Source organism: Homo sapiens, chromosome 2, assembly GCF_000001405.40.
Source record: "Homo sapiens chromosome 2, GRCh38.p14 Primary Assembly".
In the NCBI taxonomy this organism is placed as follows: domain Eukaryota; kingdom Metazoa; phylum Chordata; class Mammalia; order Primates; family Hominidae; genus Homo; species Homo sapiens.
This window is the reverse complement of record NC_000002.12, coordinates 156323347-156344595: the sequence shown is the minus strand read 5'-3', so window position 1 is coordinate 156344595 and position 21249 is coordinate 156323347. Positions and strand designations below refer to the sequence as shown.

At 44.9% G+C, this 21249-nt stretch overlaps 1 protein-coding gene and 1 long non-coding RNA gene across 12 annotated transcripts, besides 9 other annotated features; both read left to right on the top strand.

Annotated features, from left to right (window-relative positions):
* Nucleotides 1195–1254: an enhancer, noted in NCBI's record as "active region_16661". NCBI's record gives its function as "activates an Ori minimal core promoter by ATAC-STARR-seq in GM12878 lymphoblastoid cells {active_cell/tissue: GM12878}" and the evidence as "EXISTENCE:reporter gene assay evidence [ECO:0000049][PMID:35858748]".
* Nucleotides 1665–2274: a silencer, noted in NCBI's record as "silent region_12018". NCBI's record gives its function as "represses an Ori minimal core promoter by ATAC-STARR-seq in GM12878 lymphoblastoid cells {active_cell/tissue: GM12878}" and the evidence as "EXISTENCE:reporter gene assay evidence [ECO:0000049][PMID:35858748]".
* Nucleotides 2462–3015: an enhancer, noted in NCBI's record as "H3K27ac hESC enhancer chr2:157198093-157198646 (GRCh37/hg19 assembly coordinates)". NCBI's record gives its function as "activates a minimal SCP1, AML or CMV promoter by ChIP-STARR-seq in primed H9 embryonic stem cells {active_cell/tissue: H9 hESC(primed)}" and the evidence as "EXISTENCE:reporter gene assay evidence [ECO:0000049][PMID:30033119]".
* FLJ46875 (uncharacterized LOC440918) lies at nt 2476–8024 on the top strand. The gene has a single exon (NR_147695.1). It is a non-coding gene; the product is annotated as an uncharacterized LOC440918 (long non-coding RNA).
* Nucleotides 2815–2914: a silencer, noted in NCBI's record as "silent region_12017". NCBI's record gives its function as "represses an Ori minimal core promoter by ATAC-STARR-seq in GM12878 lymphoblastoid cells {active_cell/tissue: GM12878}" and the evidence as "EXISTENCE:reporter gene assay evidence [ECO:0000049][PMID:35858748]".
* Nucleotides 3016–3571: an enhancer, noted in NCBI's record as "NANOG-H3K27ac hESC enhancer chr2:157197537-157198092 (GRCh37/hg19 assembly coordinates)". NCBI's record gives its function as "activates a minimal SCP1, AML or CMV promoter by ChIP-STARR-seq in primed H9 embryonic stem cells {active_cell/tissue: H9 hESC(primed)}" and the evidence as "EXISTENCE:reporter gene assay evidence [ECO:0000049][PMID:30033119]".
* Nucleotides 9272–10144: an enhancer, noted in NCBI's record as "H3K27ac hESC enhancer chr2:157190964-157191836 (GRCh37/hg19 assembly coordinates)". NCBI's record gives its function as "activates a minimal SCP1, AML or CMV promoter by ChIP-STARR-seq in primed H9 embryonic stem cells {active_cell/tissue: H9 hESC(primed)}" and the evidence as "EXISTENCE:reporter gene assay evidence [ECO:0000049][PMID:30033119]".
* Nucleotides 9614–9713: an enhancer, noted in NCBI's record as "active region_16660". NCBI's record gives its function as "activates an Ori minimal core promoter by ATAC-STARR-seq in GM12878 lymphoblastoid cells {active_cell/tissue: GM12878}" and the evidence as "EXISTENCE:reporter gene assay evidence [ECO:0000049][PMID:35858748]".
* Nucleotides 11614–11693: an enhancer, noted in NCBI's record as "active region_16659". NCBI's record gives its function as "activates an Ori minimal core promoter by ATAC-STARR-seq in GM12878 lymphoblastoid cells {active_cell/tissue: GM12878}" and the evidence as "EXISTENCE:reporter gene assay evidence [ECO:0000049][PMID:35858748]".
* On the top strand, nt 11875–20159 carry NR4A2 (nuclear receptor subfamily 4 group A member 2). 11 transcript variants are annotated; one of them, XM_011511246.3, is made up of 8 exons: nt 11875–12116; nt 14408–15273; nt 16063–16192; nt 16582–16745; nt 17676–17878; nt 18268–18284; nt 18389–18446; nt 18596–20159. In XM_011511246.3, exons 1-8 carry the CDS (start codon nt 12086–12088, stop codon nt 18819–18821), a joined length of 1695 nt encoding a protein of 564 aa, XP_011509548.1. In that variant the 5' UTR covers nt 11875–12085; the 3' UTR covers nt 18822–20159. The 11 variants fall into 11 exon arrangements, with proteins under 11 accessions (XP_011509548.1, NP_775265.1, NP_006177.1 ...); NM_173173.3 differs by adding an exon at nt 13805–13928 and having other exon boundaries at nt 14586–15273; nt 18268–18446; NM_006186.4 differs by adding an exon at nt 13805–13928 and having other exon boundaries at nt 18268–18446.
* Nucleotides 11924–12123: a silencer, noted in NCBI's record as "silent region_12016". NCBI's record gives its function as "represses an Ori minimal core promoter by ATAC-STARR-seq in GM12878 lymphoblastoid cells {active_cell/tissue: GM12878}" and the evidence as "EXISTENCE:reporter gene assay evidence [ECO:0000049][PMID:35858748]".

Below are 21249 nucleotides of genomic sequence, written 5' to 3'. Positions count from 1 at the left end.
ATGGAAAATGGAACATCACGTTAAAAAGGGATAAGAAGTAAGCAAAAGGGCTTTAATTTAAAATTATGAGAGAAGCTCAGTGTTTCAGGAAAATAGCAGTGAAAGAAAAATACCTCTTTATAAGGAGCAGAAGAAAGAACCTTAAGGCTAAGTTAAATTAGACATATCAAACATTTTATGGGAAAGAGAGACAGATGTGCTTTTGGAACTGGAAAAATATTGGTTAACTTTTAGTTGTGATCACACTTTGGCGGTGACTATATGAAGCAAATGTTTTGGCTCTAAACTTATTTTGCCACTTTTATGTTTTCTGATTCACCAACCTGAAGAAAGAAGAATAAAGCATATTCTGACTGATAAATCAGAAAACTTTCCCTTGTCTCAATAACACCACTTAGTGATAAACAATTCAGTGTCTTTCAACGGAAACATTCCTTTTAAAAACCACACAAACCAGAAATGGGAGCAAAATTGGAGAAAGTGATCTCATTGCATTTTGCTACCCATAATCCATTTGCTCACATGAGAAAACGTGGTGTTGGAAAGGGCCTGTGACATCATTAGACTGTAAATATGTCTGCTGTCCTGTAAATGAGGCAGACTGTGACTAGTTTTTCCTCTTAAAATAGTTTTAATGGTATATTTTAATTCATTATTTTCCTGAAGTGGCCCTAATATATTTTAAGATGTACAAAATTTTAAAATGTCAGAACACCAAATTAATCTACATTTGTTACCTGTCTCCCATGAGACACTGGGTGCTTATGTTTATTTGATAAAACTTTATCCCTGGACACAATATCCTTTAACATCCTAGAATGTAAGGGTAGAAAAGGAACTATCAGTCCTTAATGTTAATGAAGAAAGTGCGGCAGAGAAAGGCCGTGGTTTCTGCAAGGTGGCACAGAAAAGTACAGTGAAGACATAATTAAAACTCAAATTTCTTTATCTTCTAAACCCCAGCTCAGAGAACCTTCTACTATACCACTTTGCCTCACTAGTGAACTAAGAACCATTTCCCCCAACACTAGTAACTCACTCTAACCATGCCAAGTCACTGCAACACCTTGCTTGCATCTGCAAATTTTTATCTATGTCTATATCAGAACCTCAGAAAACATGTTCATAGCTGAGACATTTTGCTCAAGACGAAATACAGTTTTATAGTCTATTAATTGTTGGTCCAAGAAAACAGATTACCTCCAGTTGTATGTGGGTACCTTAATGAGTAGGACAAGTGTCAGGGTGTGTGACAGAATTGCCTGAGTATGGAAGGTAGCAGTGAGAGTCTCCACAAAAATATTAATACTTTCCTATAGAGAAAGCCCCTTTTAAAGTGGGAGCCTTTATTAAAGTCCAGAGTTAAAAAGTAAGCTCTTTAACGTTGAGATTATAGACTTTTAGAAAGTTCATTTATGCCATGTTTCAGGCCTATGCTAAATTCTACGGCAAAAAGACCTGTAAATGCACCGGAGCTGACAGCCTGGGTCCTGGAACCCTTCCTCACGCTGCTACTACGGGGCACCCTTTCTATAATACAACCCCCCGAATGAAAACACTAATGCAAGCCTGGCCCCACAAAAACCTAGATAATGCTTACGTTGAAGACGACAGGTTTTTCGCTTTTGTTTTCGGTTGAGGACTTACTACCCCAAAAACACATCCGACCTGTACTAGAATAGGTGTGTGAGGGAGCGGGAAAAGCTCGGGTCATTTTAACTGGACTAGAAAGGAACACAGCGATCCCCTCACTAAACTTGTCGCCAAGTTCCCTCCTCGCCATCCCAGGGTGCGGGAAAAACCCCCTCCCGCCCCGGGGCCCCGGCAGCACTCGGGGACGCCAGCACGCCGGGCTCCTTCCCACCCGCGAACCGCGCTCCCCGCAGGGCGGGCCGGGGCGGGGAAAAAGGAGCTCGACGCGAAGGGCCGCGGGCGGCCTGGGAAGGGAGGAGGGAGACTTGGGAGGCTGCCGGGCGGTTTTATTGTTTCCTTTCGCCCTCCTCCTACCGCGCCTCCGCCCCAGCGTCACTGGAAAGCCGCCCGAGCCGCCCGGCGGCAGGTTATTTATAGCGCGGGCTGCGCGCGCGTCACGGAGCCCGGCCCGGCTGACGGGGCCGCTGACGCGCTTGGCCGCGGGGCCGAGTCCGCGGGGCTGCGCGCCGGACGCCGGCGACAATGGGCTTCTGTGTGCAGCTGCCGCAGCCGCCGGGGGCCGGGGGCCGGGGGCCGGGGGAGGGGGGCGGGCGACTCCCCGGCTCCCTTCTTGGTCGGCCGCGACCCCCCGAAAGGTAACAGGCCTCTTTCGCCCCCGGCCAGGACCTGGGCCCTGTGGGCTTTTTTTTTTTCCATTTTATCAGTAAGTTCCCCTTGTCCCAGCCTCCGCTTTCACTTCCCGCGTTCCCTCCACCCCAAAAACCGCCCCAACATGTCCAGAGAGGGGCATCTACCCAGCCGCCCAGCCAGGGGCGACCACTTTGTGAGCCCCGGGGAGCGGGACCCGTACCAGGCGCGCCCAGCGGGGGATGCGGTGACCGAGGGGCCGGGAGCGCCGGGCAGGTAACGTATCCTGGACCTAGAGTCGGGGGACTTTGTTTGGGGCGGGAGGAGCGGAACAGGGGTGGGTGTGAACGCCGGACGGCCCTTCCGGGACTCCTGTCCCCCCTCCTTCGCCCCACTCGCCTGCGCGCTGGAAGCCAATCTGGGTGTGTAGCGCGAAGAGCGAAAGAGAAACTTCTGCGTGACTGACTAGATGAGGCTCCTCCCGAGAAGCCGAGATAATAGAGGCCCCCTCTCCCGCCGCCCGCCTTTTTCTCCTCCCCCGGCCGCTCGCTCCTGTCGCCCCACCCCTCGAAGGCTGCGGACCAGCCCCCCACACTTCCCCCTACACCTCTGGCGGGTTCGCGCCGTGGACGCCCCCGCCCTGCGGGAGGAGGGGCTGGCGCGGATTTTAGGGACTTCCTGGGATGCGGAGATCGGCTCTGAACCATCCCCTTTCTGCTGCCCGGAGCTGGGGAAGCTCGCTGTGGAGCGTCTCGCACGTGGCAGGCAGGCAGAGAACTTGCTGCACCTTCTAGGAAATTGCAATCGATTTGTAATGCACTTTCGCTAATTGGGAGTTCAAAATTAAACTTTAATAAAGCATTCGTGTCGTCTCGTCTAATTGTGAAAGCTTCCATCCGTCCTGGTAGATAGACTCTAAGTCTCAAGTTAATGGCGCTAAGCTAGATTTTCCCCCCAAGTACAATTCCGTCAGCCGTCGTCGGCGCAGCTGGATTTCCGTAAGGTACAGATGTTGCTAATGACAGCTTAAGCACGGATGGGCAGATAGCATACGGAATGCAACATGTTGCCATATGGTTCCTTTAGCCTTTCACCTCCAGGGATATCAATCACATATATTCTGGGAGGAACTTAATGACTCTCTGAACAGCAAAATGAATTACCTGGTACAATTTATATCCCTTGACCTGATACGTTATAACAACAGGAAGATAGCATCTCGCAATTTCTGTGGTATAAATTGAACTACAGAGCTACATTTAAAATTCTACATCTATTTGTAGTTTAAGGGGCCCTGTCATATTCTGGCTGTAAAATCTGTTTCTGTATTGCCCATCTCCTTCCCCCTCCTACCTCTGGAGGAAGCAAAATTTATAAAGTTTAGCAAAACTGGTGTCGGAAATTGCCAGTCAACTGATTAATAGATGAAGTATGGAGAAATGGAAAATATGACTTCCAGAGCTACTTACTTCAACAAGAATTAGCCATCTTTAGGAACACCATACTTTTAAGCGTACAAAATTAAAGAACTCCAGAAAATGTATTTTCTGCTAGTTGTTTCAGTATAGCTCCTAAATCTATTCATTAACTATTTGAAATTCTCCATTTATTTTCAAACTTCAACCATTCCTACACTTTGGAAATTACAGAAGACAGTTCTCAGAAATATGAAATACAGGAAATGTAAGTAGCACCTCCTCAGCGAACCAGTTTCTGTACCCACAACCCCATGCACTCACTATTTATGTAGCTTAATTTGAATCATGTACATGGTGGTACTGGTAGTTTGCTTTTTCCTCCCAACATGTCAGTGACAGCATACTTAAGTTGCTGCTTCTCTCCTAGTGGAGTGATTCTGCAATATTTCACAGGTCTCATTTTTAAATATCCTGGTGACTAATAAAATGTTTTAATTGATTGCCTTTAATTTCAGATTATAAACGTGGTTGTCTTACTGTATCCTTTATTTTCTATTCACTAATACAGATAGATCACACGGGAAGACAATACTTTAAGGGCAAAAAGTAAAATAACTTACTAGAATTTCTAAACTTTATGTTTACTTTTACCTACTAAGGGATATCTGAAAGGTAGAGACATACTTTTAAAACTTTTTGCTTCTGGCACTATGTAAACATTAATTCATGTAAACTAATGACTAGCAGAATGCCTAAGATAGACATGAACAGTCTGAAAAAGTATTTACTTTCAGTCATGTCAAGTTTCGGAAAGTGTTAACATTTTGAAAGTTTGTCTATATATCATGTCCTTTCATAATTATTGTGAAATTATAAGACGATGCTTCTCCTTTTTTTTTTCCTTTGTAGTGGCTGATTTGTTACCTAGTGCTTTAGTTCGATAATTTTGATAATTATTATCAAATAAGATCCTTTGTGTGTGTATATAGGAGAAAATCTTATACAGAACACATTAAGATATACATAAGTTATGGCAATCTTGTCTTCTGGGGCTGTTTTTTAAATCTTTTAATGGCTGAGGTTTTATTTCTCTTTGTAGCACCAGCACTCGATGTGTCTTAAATGTGATCAGTAGTGATGGTGAGCTTGTCAATAATGACTCCATCTCCATGACTTGTGAATAGGCGGTGAGTGTGTCCTTTAATCAGTCACACAGAACTTGCTTTATAAAGCTGTTATTGTCATGAACAGATATTGCAGTCTTGTCAGGCCCAGTGATTATTAAAGTGTTCCTTCTTCAAAAGCCAGGCCGAAAGTCCTGCTGTGCTTCATTTCACAATTGAAGTCCATTAGTAAATAAAATCCCAAGCCGCACGATTTGCTGTTCCTCAAGTTATAGGCTTACATATATTTCATTAATAATCTTGGGCCCTTTTGTAGACATAAGTAGGTATATTTTTGGTATATATATATGGCAACAAAAATAAAATATGTATCTTGCAGCATGACTTTTATTTTAAATGAAGATTTGATGGATGTCCATTGTTACTCTAAATGAGGTGGCTGGCTGCCAAGGGAAACCCTACAGTCAGAAAGTACTAGAATTGTTACTATCTACAGGGAATCACTTTCTATTTTTTGAGTTCTCAACTTCACCTCCTCCTTTCAATAGTGCCCCTCCATATTGCTAATCTGAGAATTAGTCTGAATATGAAAACTTTTGAAAATATGTTTGTGTTGTCCAAGAAAAATTTCACCAGTGTTTCTGGTTGCCTGCTGGTTTTCAGCCTTTATCTTGAGTGGGCATGTTTATTCTAACTGAATGAAGAATGACTATTGAATTAGGTATATTCCCCATGCCAAATAATTTTAACTGTGATGTAATCCTAGCCGCTTTCTTATTTTTACTCCCGAATAAATTTAAAATATTTAAGATTGGCCAGGTGTCTGTTTTTCTCAGGGTAACATGGGACAGCTATGGATAGGCATTAGGCCTCTCATAGAACTCTTCATTCAAGTGAGTGTGGCTGAGAGGAACAACCAGGAAAGAGTATAGTGCCCCATTGCACTTGCCCTGTTGGCTTTTCAAATGCAAAATCCACGTTGTTGCATTTGGAAACTTGTTTCTCTGTTTTATGGTATTTCATTTAAGAATTTTTTTTAACTGCCAGTCTGTAAATATTTAACCAGCCAAGCAGGAAACAGCCTTTTATTCTCGACTGTATACAGCTTTTGTTTTTATCTGGGTTAGCATGGGTGCCATGTAAATACCATATAAAATTTGACTTTGGTTGTCCTTACTTTGAAGATTGACAGGGGTTTCTTTAATTAATCTTGTTTCCTTTCATGTTCTGTATTGAGATATTGAAATACAGTATTTTATACATTTATAGGATTGTGTTTGCATTTATTTAATTTATGTTTCTTTTTTTGAAGCATGTAGCCTTGAATGTTTGTTCTACCCTTTTTTTTTTTTTCACATCATTACTCTGGTGCTGCTTGATGTAACTTGATTAGCTCCCTCCCCAGTCATGATTGGTAATTAAAATAGGCATTAAAATTAGTCACTTAGCAATTTTGCTGTTCAATTGGCAATTAAATTACTTAATTGCAATTAAAGTCCTAATTTTAATTGGCAAAATGATAGATGTAGATTTAAGATAATATGTATAAATACTTTAATAAGTGTCTATATAAGGATTACTTAATTACTCAACTTCAAGTTTATGCTGTTAACTTTAGAACTTTTAAGTGAGCAATGAAATTTATATTACATCTATTCAAAGGATATGGTAATTAGATTTATTACTTATCACTATAAGGGTCCTTGCTTTAAGTTACTTTTGTAGTGTTAAAATTGTAGGCTTGATAATTGCAGAATTCTGATGAGAAAAAGGGCATATATGTCTCTGTTGCAATATTATCAATACCTTCATTTTTAAAATTAAATTGAGACATTCCATCCACCAATTAGTCTGAGGAAAAAATCAAAAGTGGTTATTTTATCATTAAAGATAGAACAAAAACTAGCCAGCTTGTGATTTACATATAAAAACTTGCAAAATGTATGTATTTTATCTAAATTTAAATAAATGCTATCTAATACTGGTAGTGTTATAATGCTATTAACTACTTTTAGAATTTGCAGATATTTGATGTTTTCTTAGCATGTAGCAACTTATTTTCATAATCTTTAAACTGTCTTTTAGGACTTTGTACATTTTAGTGATGCCTATGTTTACTAAAATTAGCAATGAAATCTAAAACCAAAGTTATTCTTCTTTGCCTAATAAAAAATAGTTCTTAAATAAGAAAATATTAAGTGGTTAATTTAAAAGCAAGTATTTAGGAGATGGTTACTGGGTGTCAAGTATTAACAAAAAATGAAGGATTTTTATTATGCAAAATACTTTTTGAGTGGCATGAGGTTTTACCATATGTTCAGTTTTATAATTTCAATTTACAAGAAGATGCTTCCAGAAAAAAGAATGCTGTTTTTTTTCTGCACATCTTTACACATTTCTAGTACTGAGTTCTGTATCAAAGAAAGAAATAATTTTAAAAGTATTTGTGTTAAGTGGTTTTTGGTAAAAATCGGCTGAGAAATACTGAATAAAAGCTACAACTATCCAAAATGTGAATATTAACAAAGCAATTGACTTGTTCTTTAACCATCCTATGAGAAAGGAACAAACAATTTGGTCAATTACTATCCTGTCAATGCAAATGAAATGGCAAAAGCAAAACAATAAAAACACTTTCAGAAGTAAAAACTAATTTTGTATTTTCAGAAACAGATTTTTTTCAAAGTGAAAATTTATTTCTTGTATCAGTAATGTGACTTACTGCCCAATGGCAACAAATGCTGTGAATGAGTTTGTCCAAATGTAATTTAAAATATATATCTTGTAATGCTAAAAATAGGTTCTACAAAGTAATTTTATTATGAAAAATCTTAAAGTTGCCTCAACTCGTAAAGCATAACAGGTATGTCTGTTTCACTATATCTGCATTGTAAGGTCTATTCTGAATTCATTTGGGAAGAATGGTGAAATAAATCCCTAAAGGCCTCTTTCCTATGCATTAAAATAGAAAATCCTATGGGATTACATTCATGTTTGCTTTCTAAATTATGCCAAAAGCTCAATTTTATTAAGTATAATCTGCCTAGCCATGCATAAAATAAACTACTTTGGTTTAGATGTGAGTATATGTATTATTTATGTTGATTTTTAATGAAAATATGTTTACATGTACCAATATGTTCTGCCTAATATTGGTTAATGTCATAAAAGATAATATAGTAACATTACTTTCCTAAATGTTTTTCTGTGGTCATCCAATAGTGTTTCTTAATAGTAATGCTTTTTAATTTATTTTAGTTGGTTTCAAAAGAGGATAGGTGCAATTTTTACTCCCACTCATTTTAAAAACTGTTAAGAAAATAGACCTTCATTGTGGGGTAACTTTACACATTTATACATGGCAATAGTTTAAAGTTATATCGGCTGCGGGGGCCTGAAAAAGCCATTATTGTCATTTTAATTGAGTTATAAAATACTTTATTTGAACTATTTATGTTCAAGAATCTTGAAGGGTTACAGTCATATAAATGCAGAATTTCAGTTTCTTTTAGCCTAAAGCATCGTTTTAACATTTTCTGAAAGGTTGTTCAATTCTACATTTTGATTCCATATGTGTAATTAAATCTCTATGCACAAAAGCATTCTCTTATGTACTAGCAAATATACCCACAGGAATCTCCTTCTAAACTATAATTTATTTAACATGTAATCATAGGATTTTAAAACATGCTTTCATTTTTCCAAACTGTATGCCAATTTGAACTTCTTGGTGATAAAATGAGAGATTTTATTACCAGTTTGATTTTTTCCTTCTGTGACCTAACAGTGAGTTAAGCATGAGCAGGAGGAAATAAAGAAAATCTTTTGTGAACCTAATCCCATGTGTTAAAACTGTTTCCCTTTTGGAGAAAATAGAAGAGAATCAAAGATTTTTAGTTATTTATGAATTCCAGCACAATATGAATATTTGGGCCTGCAGCATTCTCTTTGGTTTAGCTTAGGTAGTAAATAGCTTGTGTGTGTGTGTGTGTGTGTGTGTGTGTGTGTGTGTGTGTGTGTGTGTGAGTGATTCTCTTGAACGTTGTGGAGTCAGGCCCCCTACTGACTGGATCAGTCAATTACACACACATTGGCGGTGCTACTGAGACATCGTCCCATCAGAATCTGGTGAGGAAAACTAGTCTGGGGTTTTGAGCGTGGCCTTTTTTTTTTTTTTAAACACTTCTGATCTATATGCTGAATCCTTTCCAACCCATCTCATCCGGGCCTTACAGAAACCCTAGCCTAAGAAGTAGCTTATTCAAAATTGGTTTAAACGAGTTTAACAGTCTTACATCCGGCGTGTCTTCCTAAGAAACAGTAAAAGCTTCCCAGAAACCAGAATAGGACTTTGAAGAGGAGAGAACTCTTACACAGATGATGGAATAGATGAGAAAGGTCTCCCCTTTCTCTCATTTTAATTTATATTTAATTTTATATTTAATTATATTCCCAGTTAATAATAATTGTTATAATAAGCTGCTGTGAAAACGACCCTTCATTCTTGGTTGCATTAAGACTTGGACAAAGGCTGTTATCAGGAAGCCGCACTCGACAGGTTGTTATTAAAGAATAAGGCATCATATTACAATGTTTGGCTTCCTTGGAGCTCACTTTAAGAACTCCAGGACACTTTTCAGCTCTCTGGGGAGGCATTTTCAAATTGTCCCAGGCTCAACCCAACCTAAACTGAATGTGTTTTTAATGGCAATGAGGGAGGGGGAAGCGTGCAGAGTGAATGTATCTACTTAGACGGGAGTATGTGTATGGAGGCTGGTGGTTACAACCTTCAAGTTCTCCCGGCCCCCGTTTTCCTAGGACTATATTAAAAAATAATAACTGCCACCCCGGCGTGCCTGTGCTTGAGTTTCCGACTGCCTGAAAATAGCGGCCGGGAGCCTGGCCCACCGCGGGGATCAAGGAAAGCTTCCCGTGGCCGCGCCCTGCTCCCTCGCGGAAGGGGAAGGGAACCCGGGAGGGCGCCTCTGAGCTGGAGTTGCTGCTATTTTGGGCCCAGCCTGGCCGGTGCGTCAATGCCTGCGCCCCTGCGTCACCGCCACCCCCACCCCCTTCCTTCTCCCCAGCTCTCCAAACTCTCACTTTTTCCCTTTCGTTCGCATGGAATCGCTTCTGCCCACGGGGCGCTGACGCTACCGAGCTCATGCTAATATGCTATTCTTCGCCCTCCCCTCCTCATCCCCCTACTCACACACCCTCACCCGCCACCACAACCCGCCCCCCCCACCCACTTCCTGGTTTTATTTTTTTTCTCGCGCCCGCTAGGGCATCGCCGAGCAGCGGCGGCGGCGGCAGCAGCAGCGGCAGCCGCAACATCTGGGGGAAACTTAAGGTGGTCACGTAGGTTTCCCCGAGGCTGCGGCGCAAAAGAGCCCGCGGCTTCCTGGGGCAGCCGCAGGGCATCTGATGGCAACGCCTCCCCAGCCGCCGGCGAGCTGGGGGCAGCAGGGAGTAGGCAAAGGCGGGGCTGCAGATTAGGGTTGAGCAGCCCGGGATCCCGAATAGTTCCACGGAGCCATCGGCCGGTACTGAGAACACGAGTAGGGGGGCAAGTTGCAAAAGGGTCCCGGCTGCCTGGAAACGAGCCACACCGAGAAAGGAGGGGCGGCTGGGACGCTCTGCGCGAGTAGAAAAGCGGGGGCGGCTCCGAACTCTCCCTCCCAAGGCCCAGCCGCTGGAAGCCCCGCGGGAGAAGCCCTAGGAAGCCCTCCCAGCTCCGGCCGGGAGACGGGGAGGGGGCTTGCCCTCCGGAGCTGCGGCGTTTCCTTTGCTAGAAAGCTCCCTGCGCTCTCGGCGTGGCTAGGGGAAATGACTTGCAAAGCAGAAGCGGCGGCGACTTGGACGGCCGCGGGGGTGGGACACGCTCCCAGAGCCAGCTCGGGCCCCTCTCCTGGCTGGGCTGTAGGCTCACACCTTACGCTTTGCGGAGACGCTGCCCCCAATCCCCACCCGCTTCGCTTTTCTTGTCCAGTCTTTCTGGGCTCTAAGATTGAGGCTGTGATAGACCTTGTGTTTCAAACGAAGATCGATTTATTCCCTTAAAACTCGTGGAAGGGGTACGAGTTGGTGGGCACAGAGGAGTATCGAAAGTATTAGAGTTTGCAGAAGGTGGGAATCAGAGTACCTTTCTGCAGAAGGCGCACCTGTTGCCTGCTGCTCGGCTGCATTGTCTGCGAAAGGAAAAGGGGCGACGCTTCACTCTGACTTTTGGGGTTTCTAAAGAGCTGGGTCACGGTCACTGTCTACCCTCTCCCCTTCCTCTCCCCCCCCCCCGCAAGCACCACGTCCTCCATCGAACGTGGGCACTGCATGGAAATAAGGAAACATAGAAAAATAAGCCCTACCCCCACTCCCATTCCCTTTCAGATGGGAGTGTGGGGGGTGGGGGTGGGGTAGAGAGAGTGAGAGAGAGAGATAATTAGAATGAATATATGCCAGAAGAGGAGGAGGCCTGGGACAGGAAAAGGGAGTAAAAGGGGATGAACCGGGTAGGGAAATCCCACCCGAACTGCGTGAGCCCTCTGAGCGTCTCGTGTCATGGGACATCTGTACGCTCTTCCGCTAAGGGGGTGACGAAGGTGGGTGGGAGAGGTTAGGGCGCTGCAAGGCACATCCCATTCCGTGCGGCTCCAGGTGCGTACTACCTGGCCACGCCGGCCTTGCCTTCCGCCGGTGCTTTTGTTGCACCCTCCCCACATGTGAGCGGCCGAGCCGCTGCGCGGGCGCAGGGGCTTCGGGGAAAGTGAAGTGTCGCGACGCTGCGGGCTGCGCAGACCTGGGAGAGGTCACACCTCTTTCGGAAAAAAAAAAAGAAAAGAAAAAAAACACCAAAAACCACCCAAGCTGGCTACCAAGGTGAACGCAGAGCGGTTCCCACCTTAAAATCGGCCCTGCTCGTGACGTCAGGTCGGAAATATACCAAAGCGAGCGCGGGCCAGGAGTCCAGGGAGCGCGGCAGCGCGGCGATTGGGCGGCGGGCCGCTGACGCGCGCTGACGCGCGGAGACTTTAGGTGCATGTTGGCAGCGGCAGCGCAAGCCACATAAACAAAGGCACATTGGCGGCCAGGGCCAGTCCGCCCGGCGGCTCGCGCACGGCTCCGCGGTCCCTTTTGCCTGTCCAGCCGGCCGCCTGTCCCTGCTCCCTCCCTCCGTGAGGTGTCCGGGTTCCCTTCGCCCAGCTCTCCCACCCCTACCCGACCCCGGCGCCCGGGCTCCCAGAGGGAACTGCACTTCGGCAGAGTTGAATGAATGAAGACAGACGCGGAGAACTCCTAAGTGAGTAGATGCAGCCCATGCAGTTCGCCTTCTTTTATGCTTTTTCCTTCTTTTGCACGTCTCTTCTTTCCACTTGTGTGGGACAGGTTCTCTGGAAGTGGGAGCCAGAGGCTTCTAGTGAGAGTGGGACCGAAGGATGGGGAGTGCGTGCGCGCAGTTACCGGGGGGCATTTGTTCGAACTCCGGCTTTGGCACTAGTGGGGAGTTGGCTCTCGACAGAGGTTTCCAGGCTCCTCATTGGTGGACGTGGAAGGGAGACTCCACAGTTTGGGAGCTGAGGACTAGCCCGCGGAAATGTGCGCAAAGTTTGCTGTTAGTGAGGAATTGATTGTGGCCTGTGAACACGGAGACTCCAAGTCCTATGTATACGAGGGAAGCTGCCCACAAACTGACAGGGAGAGGAAGTTCTTCAGTTTATGCGTTGCTTGGGAACTGTGTCTCCGCGGCTGGCCAGCGCGCGATGTTTCCCGGGTATTGTTGAGTAAGGGTGGTGTTGGTAGCGTGTCCTGTTACTAAGTTGCCTGAAATTTCTGGTTTTGACATATGCTGTCCTTGGGTTTGCGAATGTATCAGAGCGAGAATATGAATATGTAAAGAGTACAGTTATGAAACTGTGGAGCTACCAGGGGGTTAATATCCAACACAGGAATATCTCTAAGGGCTGTGGGGTTCGAGTCTCCTTTCTGCTTTTTCTGGGTAATCTTCCCCCCACCCCCACCACCACTATGAAGCAAGATTGTGGGGGAGGGGAAAGAATAAAAAGAGAGGATACTGGCTTTCTTTTTTCATTAGTAATAAGATTGTCTGTGCTCTAGAATGTCTTCCAAGTGGGAACATCTGAAAATTGCTAGGACACAAGAATGCCTTGTTCCAGAAAGGCAGATTGTGGAAGGCATTATGGGGAAGGTGTTCATCTTGCTGTGCTGGGAAACACTTCTAATATTGGTGCCAATACCATATAAGCAGTATGTCCCCCCTCTGCAATTGACCTAAGAAGCTCCTGGAAAAGTAGATCCCCTCTTCCCACCTTGTGACCATTAAGCCTTGTGACCATTAAAGATGCTGAAAGACAAGTTTTCTGGAAAAGTGAACATCAATTTATCTGTAGCTCCAATCCCAGTGCTCTGTCAAAAGCACTTTAGAAGTGCGGATGCTTCCACTCAACTTGCCTTCTCAGTCAAGGCCTTTCTAACATTTTGTAAGGGGGAAGATTGTTTTCTCATTTTATATTCTTGACTTCTACTTTCTTCCCCTCTACCAAAAGAAAAGGCAATTTCACCACAAGAAAAAAAAATGCAAGAGAAGGTTCCAATGCTGTATTTTCATACTCTAGTCTTCATACTCAGGTCCTGAATTAACCTAAGATGGAAATGACCTCTCCACCTACACTGTAGCAAAGGGGCCAGTTCATTACATCATAAATGTTAAATGAGTTCATGGACTAGCTTTCCTCTTGCAGGATCTTCTCTCTGCAAGGATTTACACAGTGCAATGGGTGGTATTTTCTGTTGTTTCAAGTCATTTCTTTTATACATTCATTTTAAGTGCTATGTTTGGTAAAGGCTTCCCACTCATTTCCAATGAGACAAACAGGGAAGGCATGGAAGGGCCTGCCTGGTGAGTCTACATATGCCCAGCTGAATCTCTGTCGGGAAGAAACCCTGAAGCTTCCTGTGTCTGTATTTCAGGGAGGAGATTGGACAGGCTGGACTCCCCATTGCTTTTCTAAAAATCTTGGAAACTTTGTCCTTCATTGAATTACGACACTGTCCACCTTTAATTTCCTCGAAAACGCCTGTAACTCGGCTGAAGGTTAGTGCAACTTCATTTCTTTCCTTTACTCTCCAGAGCTCCCCAAACATCAAGAAACAGGACAAGGCAAACCCTGTAACTTAAGGTTTGCCCGACCCATCGCCTTCGGGAACAACTTTCTCATTGTGAAATTCAACTTCATTTCTAGATGGTCATTTCTAGAAAGAGACTGCTGAATCTGAGCTTCAGAGAAGAGGCTCATCTGAGTGGGATGAGTGGGGGGGTATGAGGGAGATGTTTGGAAATACCCAGGAGTGTAGACCCTCAGTAGCTTTTTAGCTCTGGGTCTTTATTTGGTTAGTCTTTCCACGCCCTAAACTGTTGTTCTGCAGCATTCTCTCTCTCCTGCCTTTCCTCTCGCGCCCCTACATGCTCTCTGACTGCCGCGGGCTGCCGGTGTAGCTCCAGGTGTACCCGAGCCCGGGAGAAAGTGTTCAGTTGACCAGGCTGAGTGTGTTATCACCCTGTTTCATTTCCAGCCATGCCTTGTGTTCAGGCGCAGTATGGGTCCTCGCCTCAAGGAGCCAGCCCCGCTTCTCAGAGCTACAGTTACCACTCTTCGGGAGAATACAGCTCCGATTTCTTAACTCCAGAGTTTGTCAAGTTTAGCATGGACCTCACCAACACTGAAATCACTGCCACCACTTCTCTCCCCAGCTTCAGTACCTTTATGGACAACTACAGCACAGGCTACGACGTCAAGCCACCTTGCTTGTACCAAATGCCCCTGTCCGGACAGCAGTCCTCCATTAAGGTAGAAGACATTCAGATGCACAACTACCAGCAACACAGCCACCTGCCCCCCCAGTCTGAGGAGATGATGCCGCACTCCGGGTCGGTTTACTACAAGCCCTCCTCGCCCCCGACGCCCACCACCCCGGGCTTCCAGGTGCAGCACAGCCCCATGTGGGACGACCCGGGATCTCTCCACAACTTCCACCAGAACTACGTGGCCACTACGCACATGATCGAGCAGAGGAAAACGCCAGTCTCCCGCCTCTCCCTCTTCTCCTTTAAGCAATCGCCCCCTGGCACCCCGGTGTCTAGTTGCCAGATGCGCTTCGACGGGCCCCTGCACGTCCCCATGAACCCGGAGCCCGCCGGCAGCCACCACGTGGTGGACGGGCAGACCTTCGCTGTGCCCAACCCCATTCGCAAGCCCGCGTCCATGGGCTTCCCGGGCCTGCAGATCGGCCACGCGTCTCAGCTGCTCGACACGCAGGTGCCCTCACCGCCGTCGCGGGGCTCCCCCTCCAACGAGGGGCTGTGCGCTGTGTGTGGGGACAACGCGGCCTGCCAACACTACGGCGTGCGCACCTGTGAGGGCTGCAAAGGCTTCTTTAAGGTGAGCAATGGCGGGAGCGGAGTAGGCAGGTAGGGAGCCCCTAGTGCCCGGGACCTCGGAGTGTGCCCTCTGCCTTGGTGCCAGTAGCCCAGCCCCAGCTCTCCCGGGACTGCCCAGCTCTCCGGGGTCCGCCGAAGCTGCCCTGCAGGAGACCATGGGCTGCGGCGGGGACTTCCGGGTGTCTGAGAAAGGGAAGCAGAAAGACTGGGAGGCCAGGGTCGCATCCCCCTCGCATTCAGCCGACCCGGCTGGCCCCCGCCCGAAGTTGCTGGAGCCGGAGTTGGAAGAGGGTCATTTGCATGTGCTAGGAGCTGTCTTCCCTGTTCAGAATGAAATTGGTTAGGACAGAGAACCGTGTCTGAGCTAACCAAGTGGAACAGAATTCCCTATGGTCAAATTAAGTGATCTCTTTATTTCGCCATCCTGATTGAATAATCTTATCATTTTAAATAGAGAAGGTCTCCAAGGAATGTAAATAATATGAATGCCCACGGATTTGTATTTACTGAGCGTCTCCTTCTCCTTCTCTTGGCATATAAAACACAGCAAGGAGCGGCAAGGTTAGCTCAAATGTTAACGCTATCAATTTTCTTCTGTTAAATGCCCTGGGGGAGGAAAAAAGAAAAGAAAGAAAGAAAAGGAAGAGAAAAAAATAAAATGGAATTGTGTGTATGTGTTTGTTTGTGGGGAGGAATCGTAGACCCCAGTCACATAACAGAAATTTTCTCCGAGTTGCCTGATTTTCAAAAGAAGAAAAAAAATGTTGGTCTATATTGTCTCCTTTTGCAGCGCACAGTGCAAAAAAATGCAAAATACGTGTGTTTAGCAAATAAAAACTGCCCAGTGGACAAGCGTCGCCGGAATCGCTGTCAGTACTGCCGATTTCAGAAGTGCCTGGCTGTTGGGATGGTCAAAGAAGGTAGGCTGAGGGGAGCTGCCGACCCTCCAGTTTGCGCCTTTAGGAAACCACTGCTCATACTCCAGCATCACGTTCCACTTCCCGGTGCTGGGGATCTCCGACTCCCCCTCAGTATGGCCTCCAGGACCCTGCAGCTGCCTGCTTGCCCGGCCTTCCCTAGAGAAAGCCGCCAGGCCCTTCTCTCCTTTAACTATACGACCCATTTGGAGGAAGACATAAAATAACCCCGCATTTTTTAATGCTTCTAGTCAGTGAAGGCTTTACAAGCACTGGGGCCCTCAGCCGCTCAGCCTGGTGCCCCGCGGCTGCGGCCTTCCCCGGGGAGGGACCGAGGCAGCAGCTGGGCCTGGGCTCGGAAAAGCGGCGCTAACAGGGCTCTTCCTTTGCAGTGGTTCGCACAGACAGTTTAAAAGGCCGGAGAGGTCGTTTGCCCTCGAAACCGAAGAGCCCACAGGAGCCCTCTCCCCCTTCGCCCCCGGTGAGTCTGATCAGTGCCCTCGTCAGGGCCCATGTCGACTCCAACCCGGCTATGACCAGCCTGGACTATTCCAGGGTAAGAAGCTGGCGGGGGGGATATCATGTGGACAAACCGACAGATGGGCAGGACCCCTCCCCACATCCGTCATTAACTCTCAGATTCAACGGGGGTAAAGAAGGCAAGCAAGGCTGTATATGCCTCGCAGCTCTGGCCAGGGCCTCAAGATTCAGATCTTCAGACAATCCATGTAGCTGGGGGCATAGACATGAGGACAGGATGGAGGAAGGAGGAGAGGGACACGCCACAGGGTTTGAAGCTGTGTGAATTCCCACTACCCCACTACCCCATCGCCCCTCCTCTTCCATATACACCAGTGCCTCTACCATGAAATCCAGGGGCTGTGCAAACTCTCCCCCTTCCCAATCTACTTTATTCCCAGTCCTCCATAGAGATAGATGCTTTAATCCTCATCCTTCCTGGCACTGTGCTGGGGAAGGATGTGGGGGCCTGTCTGGGGGTCAGGGAAGGGAAGGAGAGGGTGTAAAGAATGCCAGTGGGGTGGGGGATCAAGTGGTCAGATCCTTTTTACTCCAGCTGTGAAAAATATGCGGGCTTTAATTGGAGGAAGTATGTTGAGCAAACCTGGTAGGGACTGCAATTTTATTAAGATTTGCAAAAGGGCGTCTCAGCTCGAGGCCCACTCTGGGACTAGCATGAATACTAACATGTCAATTGTTTTGTGGAGATAAGAGTGAACGTTTCCCAGGGCTGGATGGCACTGTATTTAGTCTGTATGGAAATGGCAATTTACATATTTAAAGCAGCGACCTCGTAGCACCATCCCTAATTGAATTAATTGCCCCGGAACATCTAATTTCCTTACTGGTCAGAGAGAGGTTTAATTGTTATAAAAACCTGGCTCCCCTATTAGAAACGGGGTTAGCAATTTCACGGGTTATATATTTTAGAGAACCTCATTAAGTGCTTTTTAAAATGAAATTCCAGTTCCAGGCGAACCCTGACTATCAAATGAGTGGAGATGACACCCAGCATATCCAGCAATTCTATGATCTCCTGACTGGCTCCATGGAGATCATCCGGGGCTGGGCAGAGAAGATCCCTGGCTTCGCAGACCTGCCCAAAGCCGACCAAGACCTGCTTTTTGAATCAGCTTTCTTAGAACTGTTTGTCCTTCGATTAGCATACAGGTAATAAGGGAGGGAGGGAGACAATCCAGGGAGGCTGTGAGAGAAATCAAGAAAGGAAAAGAAAGGGAGGAAGGGAAACCAGAGGGTGGGGTAGAGAAAAAGACAGAATAGGAAATGGAAGTCGGAGAAAGGAAGAAAAAGAAAGAAAACAAAAAAAGACGAGAAGAAGCGAGCCCAGAAGCCTTGGATGAATGGAATGGAGGTGGGATAGGGGGCGTTCTTGATTGTTATGAAATTAAACCCTTTCAAGGTCCACTGGTCTACATTTTATTAACTCTTCAGTAATTAGGTGACTCTTAAATCCCTCATTTATTGCTCTTCAAGTAATTAGTTGTTTAGCTTTTCTCTCTCTCTTTTTCTCCCCTCTCTCTCTTTGGTATTAATTGCAGGTCCAACCCAGTGGAGGGTAAACTCATCTTTTGCAATGGGGTGGTCTTGCACAGGTTGCAATGCGTTCGTGGCTTTGGGGAATGGATTGATTCCATTGTTGAATTCTCCTCCAACTTGCAGAATATGAACATCGACATTTCTGCCTTCTCCTGCATTGCTGCCCTGGCTATGGTCACAGGTCAGTACTGCAGGCGCAGGGCGCTTCCCCTCCAGAACTGCCTAGCAGGATTTGTCCTGAGTTTCCCTTGTCACAGATTCTCCTTGGTTTTGCCAACTAGCTAACTGTCTTGTACATTCTTCTTTTGTTTCTGATTATGTTTTCTGCAGAGAGACACGGGCTCAAGGAACCCAAGAGAGTGGAAGAACTGCAAAACAAGATTGTAAATTGTCTCAAAGACCACGTGACTTTCAACAATGGGGGGTTGAACCGCCCCAATTATTTGTCCAAACTGTTGGGGAAGCTCCCAGAACTTCGTACCCTTTGCACACAGGGGCTACAGCGCATTTTCTACCTGAAATTGGAAGACTTGGTGCCACCGCCAGCAATAATTGACAAACTTTTCCTGGACACTTTACCTTTCTAAGACCTCCTCCCAAGCACTTCAAAGGAACTGGAATGATAATGGAAACTGTCAAGAGGGGGCAAGTCACATGGGCAGAGATAGCCGTGTGAGCAGTCTCAGCTCAAGCTGCCCCCCATTTCTGTAACCCTCCTAGCCCCCTTGATCCCTAAAGAAAACAAACAAACAAACAAAAACTGTTGCTATTTCCTAACCTGCAGGCAGAACCTGAAAGGGCATTTTGGCTCCGGGGCATCCTGGATTTAGAACATGGACTACACACAATACAGTGGTATAAACTTTTTATTCTCAGTTTAAAAATCAGTTTGTTGTTCAGAAGAAAGATTGCTATAATGTATAATGGGAAATGTTTGGCCATGCTTGGTTGTTGCAGTTCAGACAAATGTAACACACACACACATACACACACACACACACACACAGAGACACATCTTAAGGGGACCCACAAGTATTGCCCTTTAACAAGACTTCAAAGTTTTCTGCTGTAAAGAAAGCTGTAATATATAGTAAAACTAAATGTTGCGTGGGTGGCATGAGTTGAAGAAGGCAAAGGCTTGTAAATTTACCCAATGCAGTTTGGCTTTTTAAATTATTTTGTGCCTATTTATGAATAAATATTACAAATTCTAAAAGATAAGTGTGTTTGCAAAAAAAAAGAAAATAAATACATAAAAAAGGGACAAGCATGTTGATTCTAGGTTGAAAATGTTATAGGCACTTGCTACTTCAGTAATGTCTATATTATATAAATAGTATTTCAGACACTATGTAGTCTGTTAGATTTTATAAAGATTGGTAGTTATCTGAGCTTAAACATTTTCTCAATTGTAAAATAGGTGGGCACAAGTATTACACATCAGAAAATCCTGACAAAAGGGACACATAGTGTTTGTAACACCGTCCAACATTCCTTGTTTGTAAGTGTTGTATGTACCGTTGATGTTGATAAAAAGAAAGTTTATATCTTGATTATTTTGTTGTCTAAAGCTAAACAAAACTTGCATGCAGCAGCTTTTGACTGTTTCCAGAGTGCTTATAATATACATAACTCCCTGGAAATAACTGAGCACTTTGAATTTTTTTTATGTCTAAAATTGTCAGTTAATTTATTATTTTGTTTGAGTAAGAATTTTAATATTGCCATATTCTGTAGTATTTTTCTTTGTATATTTCTAGTATGGCACATGATATGAGTCACTGCCTTTTTTTCTATGGTGTATGACAGTTAGAGATGCTGATTTTTTTTCTGATAAATTCTTTCTTTGAGAAAGACAATTTTAATGTTTACAACAATAAACCATGTAAATGAACAGAATTTTGTCTTCTTTTTGGGTCAGAAAAAATAATGACTAAACAGCAACATAACATACACAGTTGGAGATTAATTTGGGATAGGTCACTTATTCAATATCTGAATTTTAAACAGCCTAAATCTATTCTGGCAAAAGAAATCAGGTGAACCAGAATAATTATGCAGATAATTCAGTAAAATATTTTTTCTTAACCAGAATTTTCCAGTCTGGTGACCAATATTTATTAGGATCAATTTAGAATATCTCAATTCTTCTGTTAACTTTGCAAGTAAGTGTAGCTTTCAGGAGAGAAGTTCTGGAGACCCAAAAGCTTTTGAACTTGAGCAAGGTCAGAGTCTAGTCAAGTACTTGTCTTGCACAGTGATTAGGAAGTATCTTTTTAAGACTCAAGAAGTCAACATGGATTTGAGGAGTGTTGTATGTAATCTCCGATTTTCCAATTTCTCAATTTACAACTGTTGGGTCATGGAGAAAGGGCAAAGCAGTTCAGGCCCTTTGGGCCTTGGGTCACTTTGGCACAGAGCAGAACTCAGTAGAGGTAGTTCTTACAACTCTTTATTTTCCTCATTCAGTGGATGGTGATGAGGTGCAATTTGTAGTTTTAGAATAGAATTTCTCCCGTGTAAGTTTCTCAGGTACATGATAAAATATCTATGTGTTGGGTCTTGGGCCTAGTATAAGCAAGTTGTATCCGGGCCTCTAGGATTCCACCCAGCACCAACTTTCAAAAAAGAAAGGAAACTGATGCTGTAGAAGCTGCTTCCACTCAGAACCCTTGTCCTTGGGCAAATGAAGTCCAACGAGTTTCACCTTAGGGCAGCTGTGAATTCATAGAGAGCATAAGATGGGGACGGTCTCCTTCGCTGACCCTAGTGAATTACAGATGGCCTTTGGGTCACTGAAATTTATGAAGAGTGTTATTGTTTTTAAAATGCAGAGTTAGAACTGTAAATTGCCACGAGAGCGCTCAGGTTTTCTTTTGTTTGTTTCCCCTCTTTTTAAAAGACACGTTTTGCGGGTCAGCAAAAAGAGAGAATGCAGGTGTCGGTGGTAATATAAGGTTATTTTTACGAGATGCGTTTTTCTC

Excerpts from the sequence above, each read along its gene's own strand:
- NR4A2 (XM_005246621.5), top strand. The coding sequence starts at position 12,086 with ATGAATGAAGACAGACGCGGAGAACTCCTAA. Across the intron at positions 16,746-17,675 it reads CCAGCCTGGACTATTCCAGG|TTCCAGGCGAACCCTGACTA; the intron begins GTAAGAAGCTGG and ends ATGAAATTCCAG. Across the intron at positions 17,879-18,267 it reads GTCCTTCGATTAGCATACAG|GTCCAACCCAGTGGAGGGTA; the intron begins GTAATAAGGGAG and ends TATTAATTGCAG.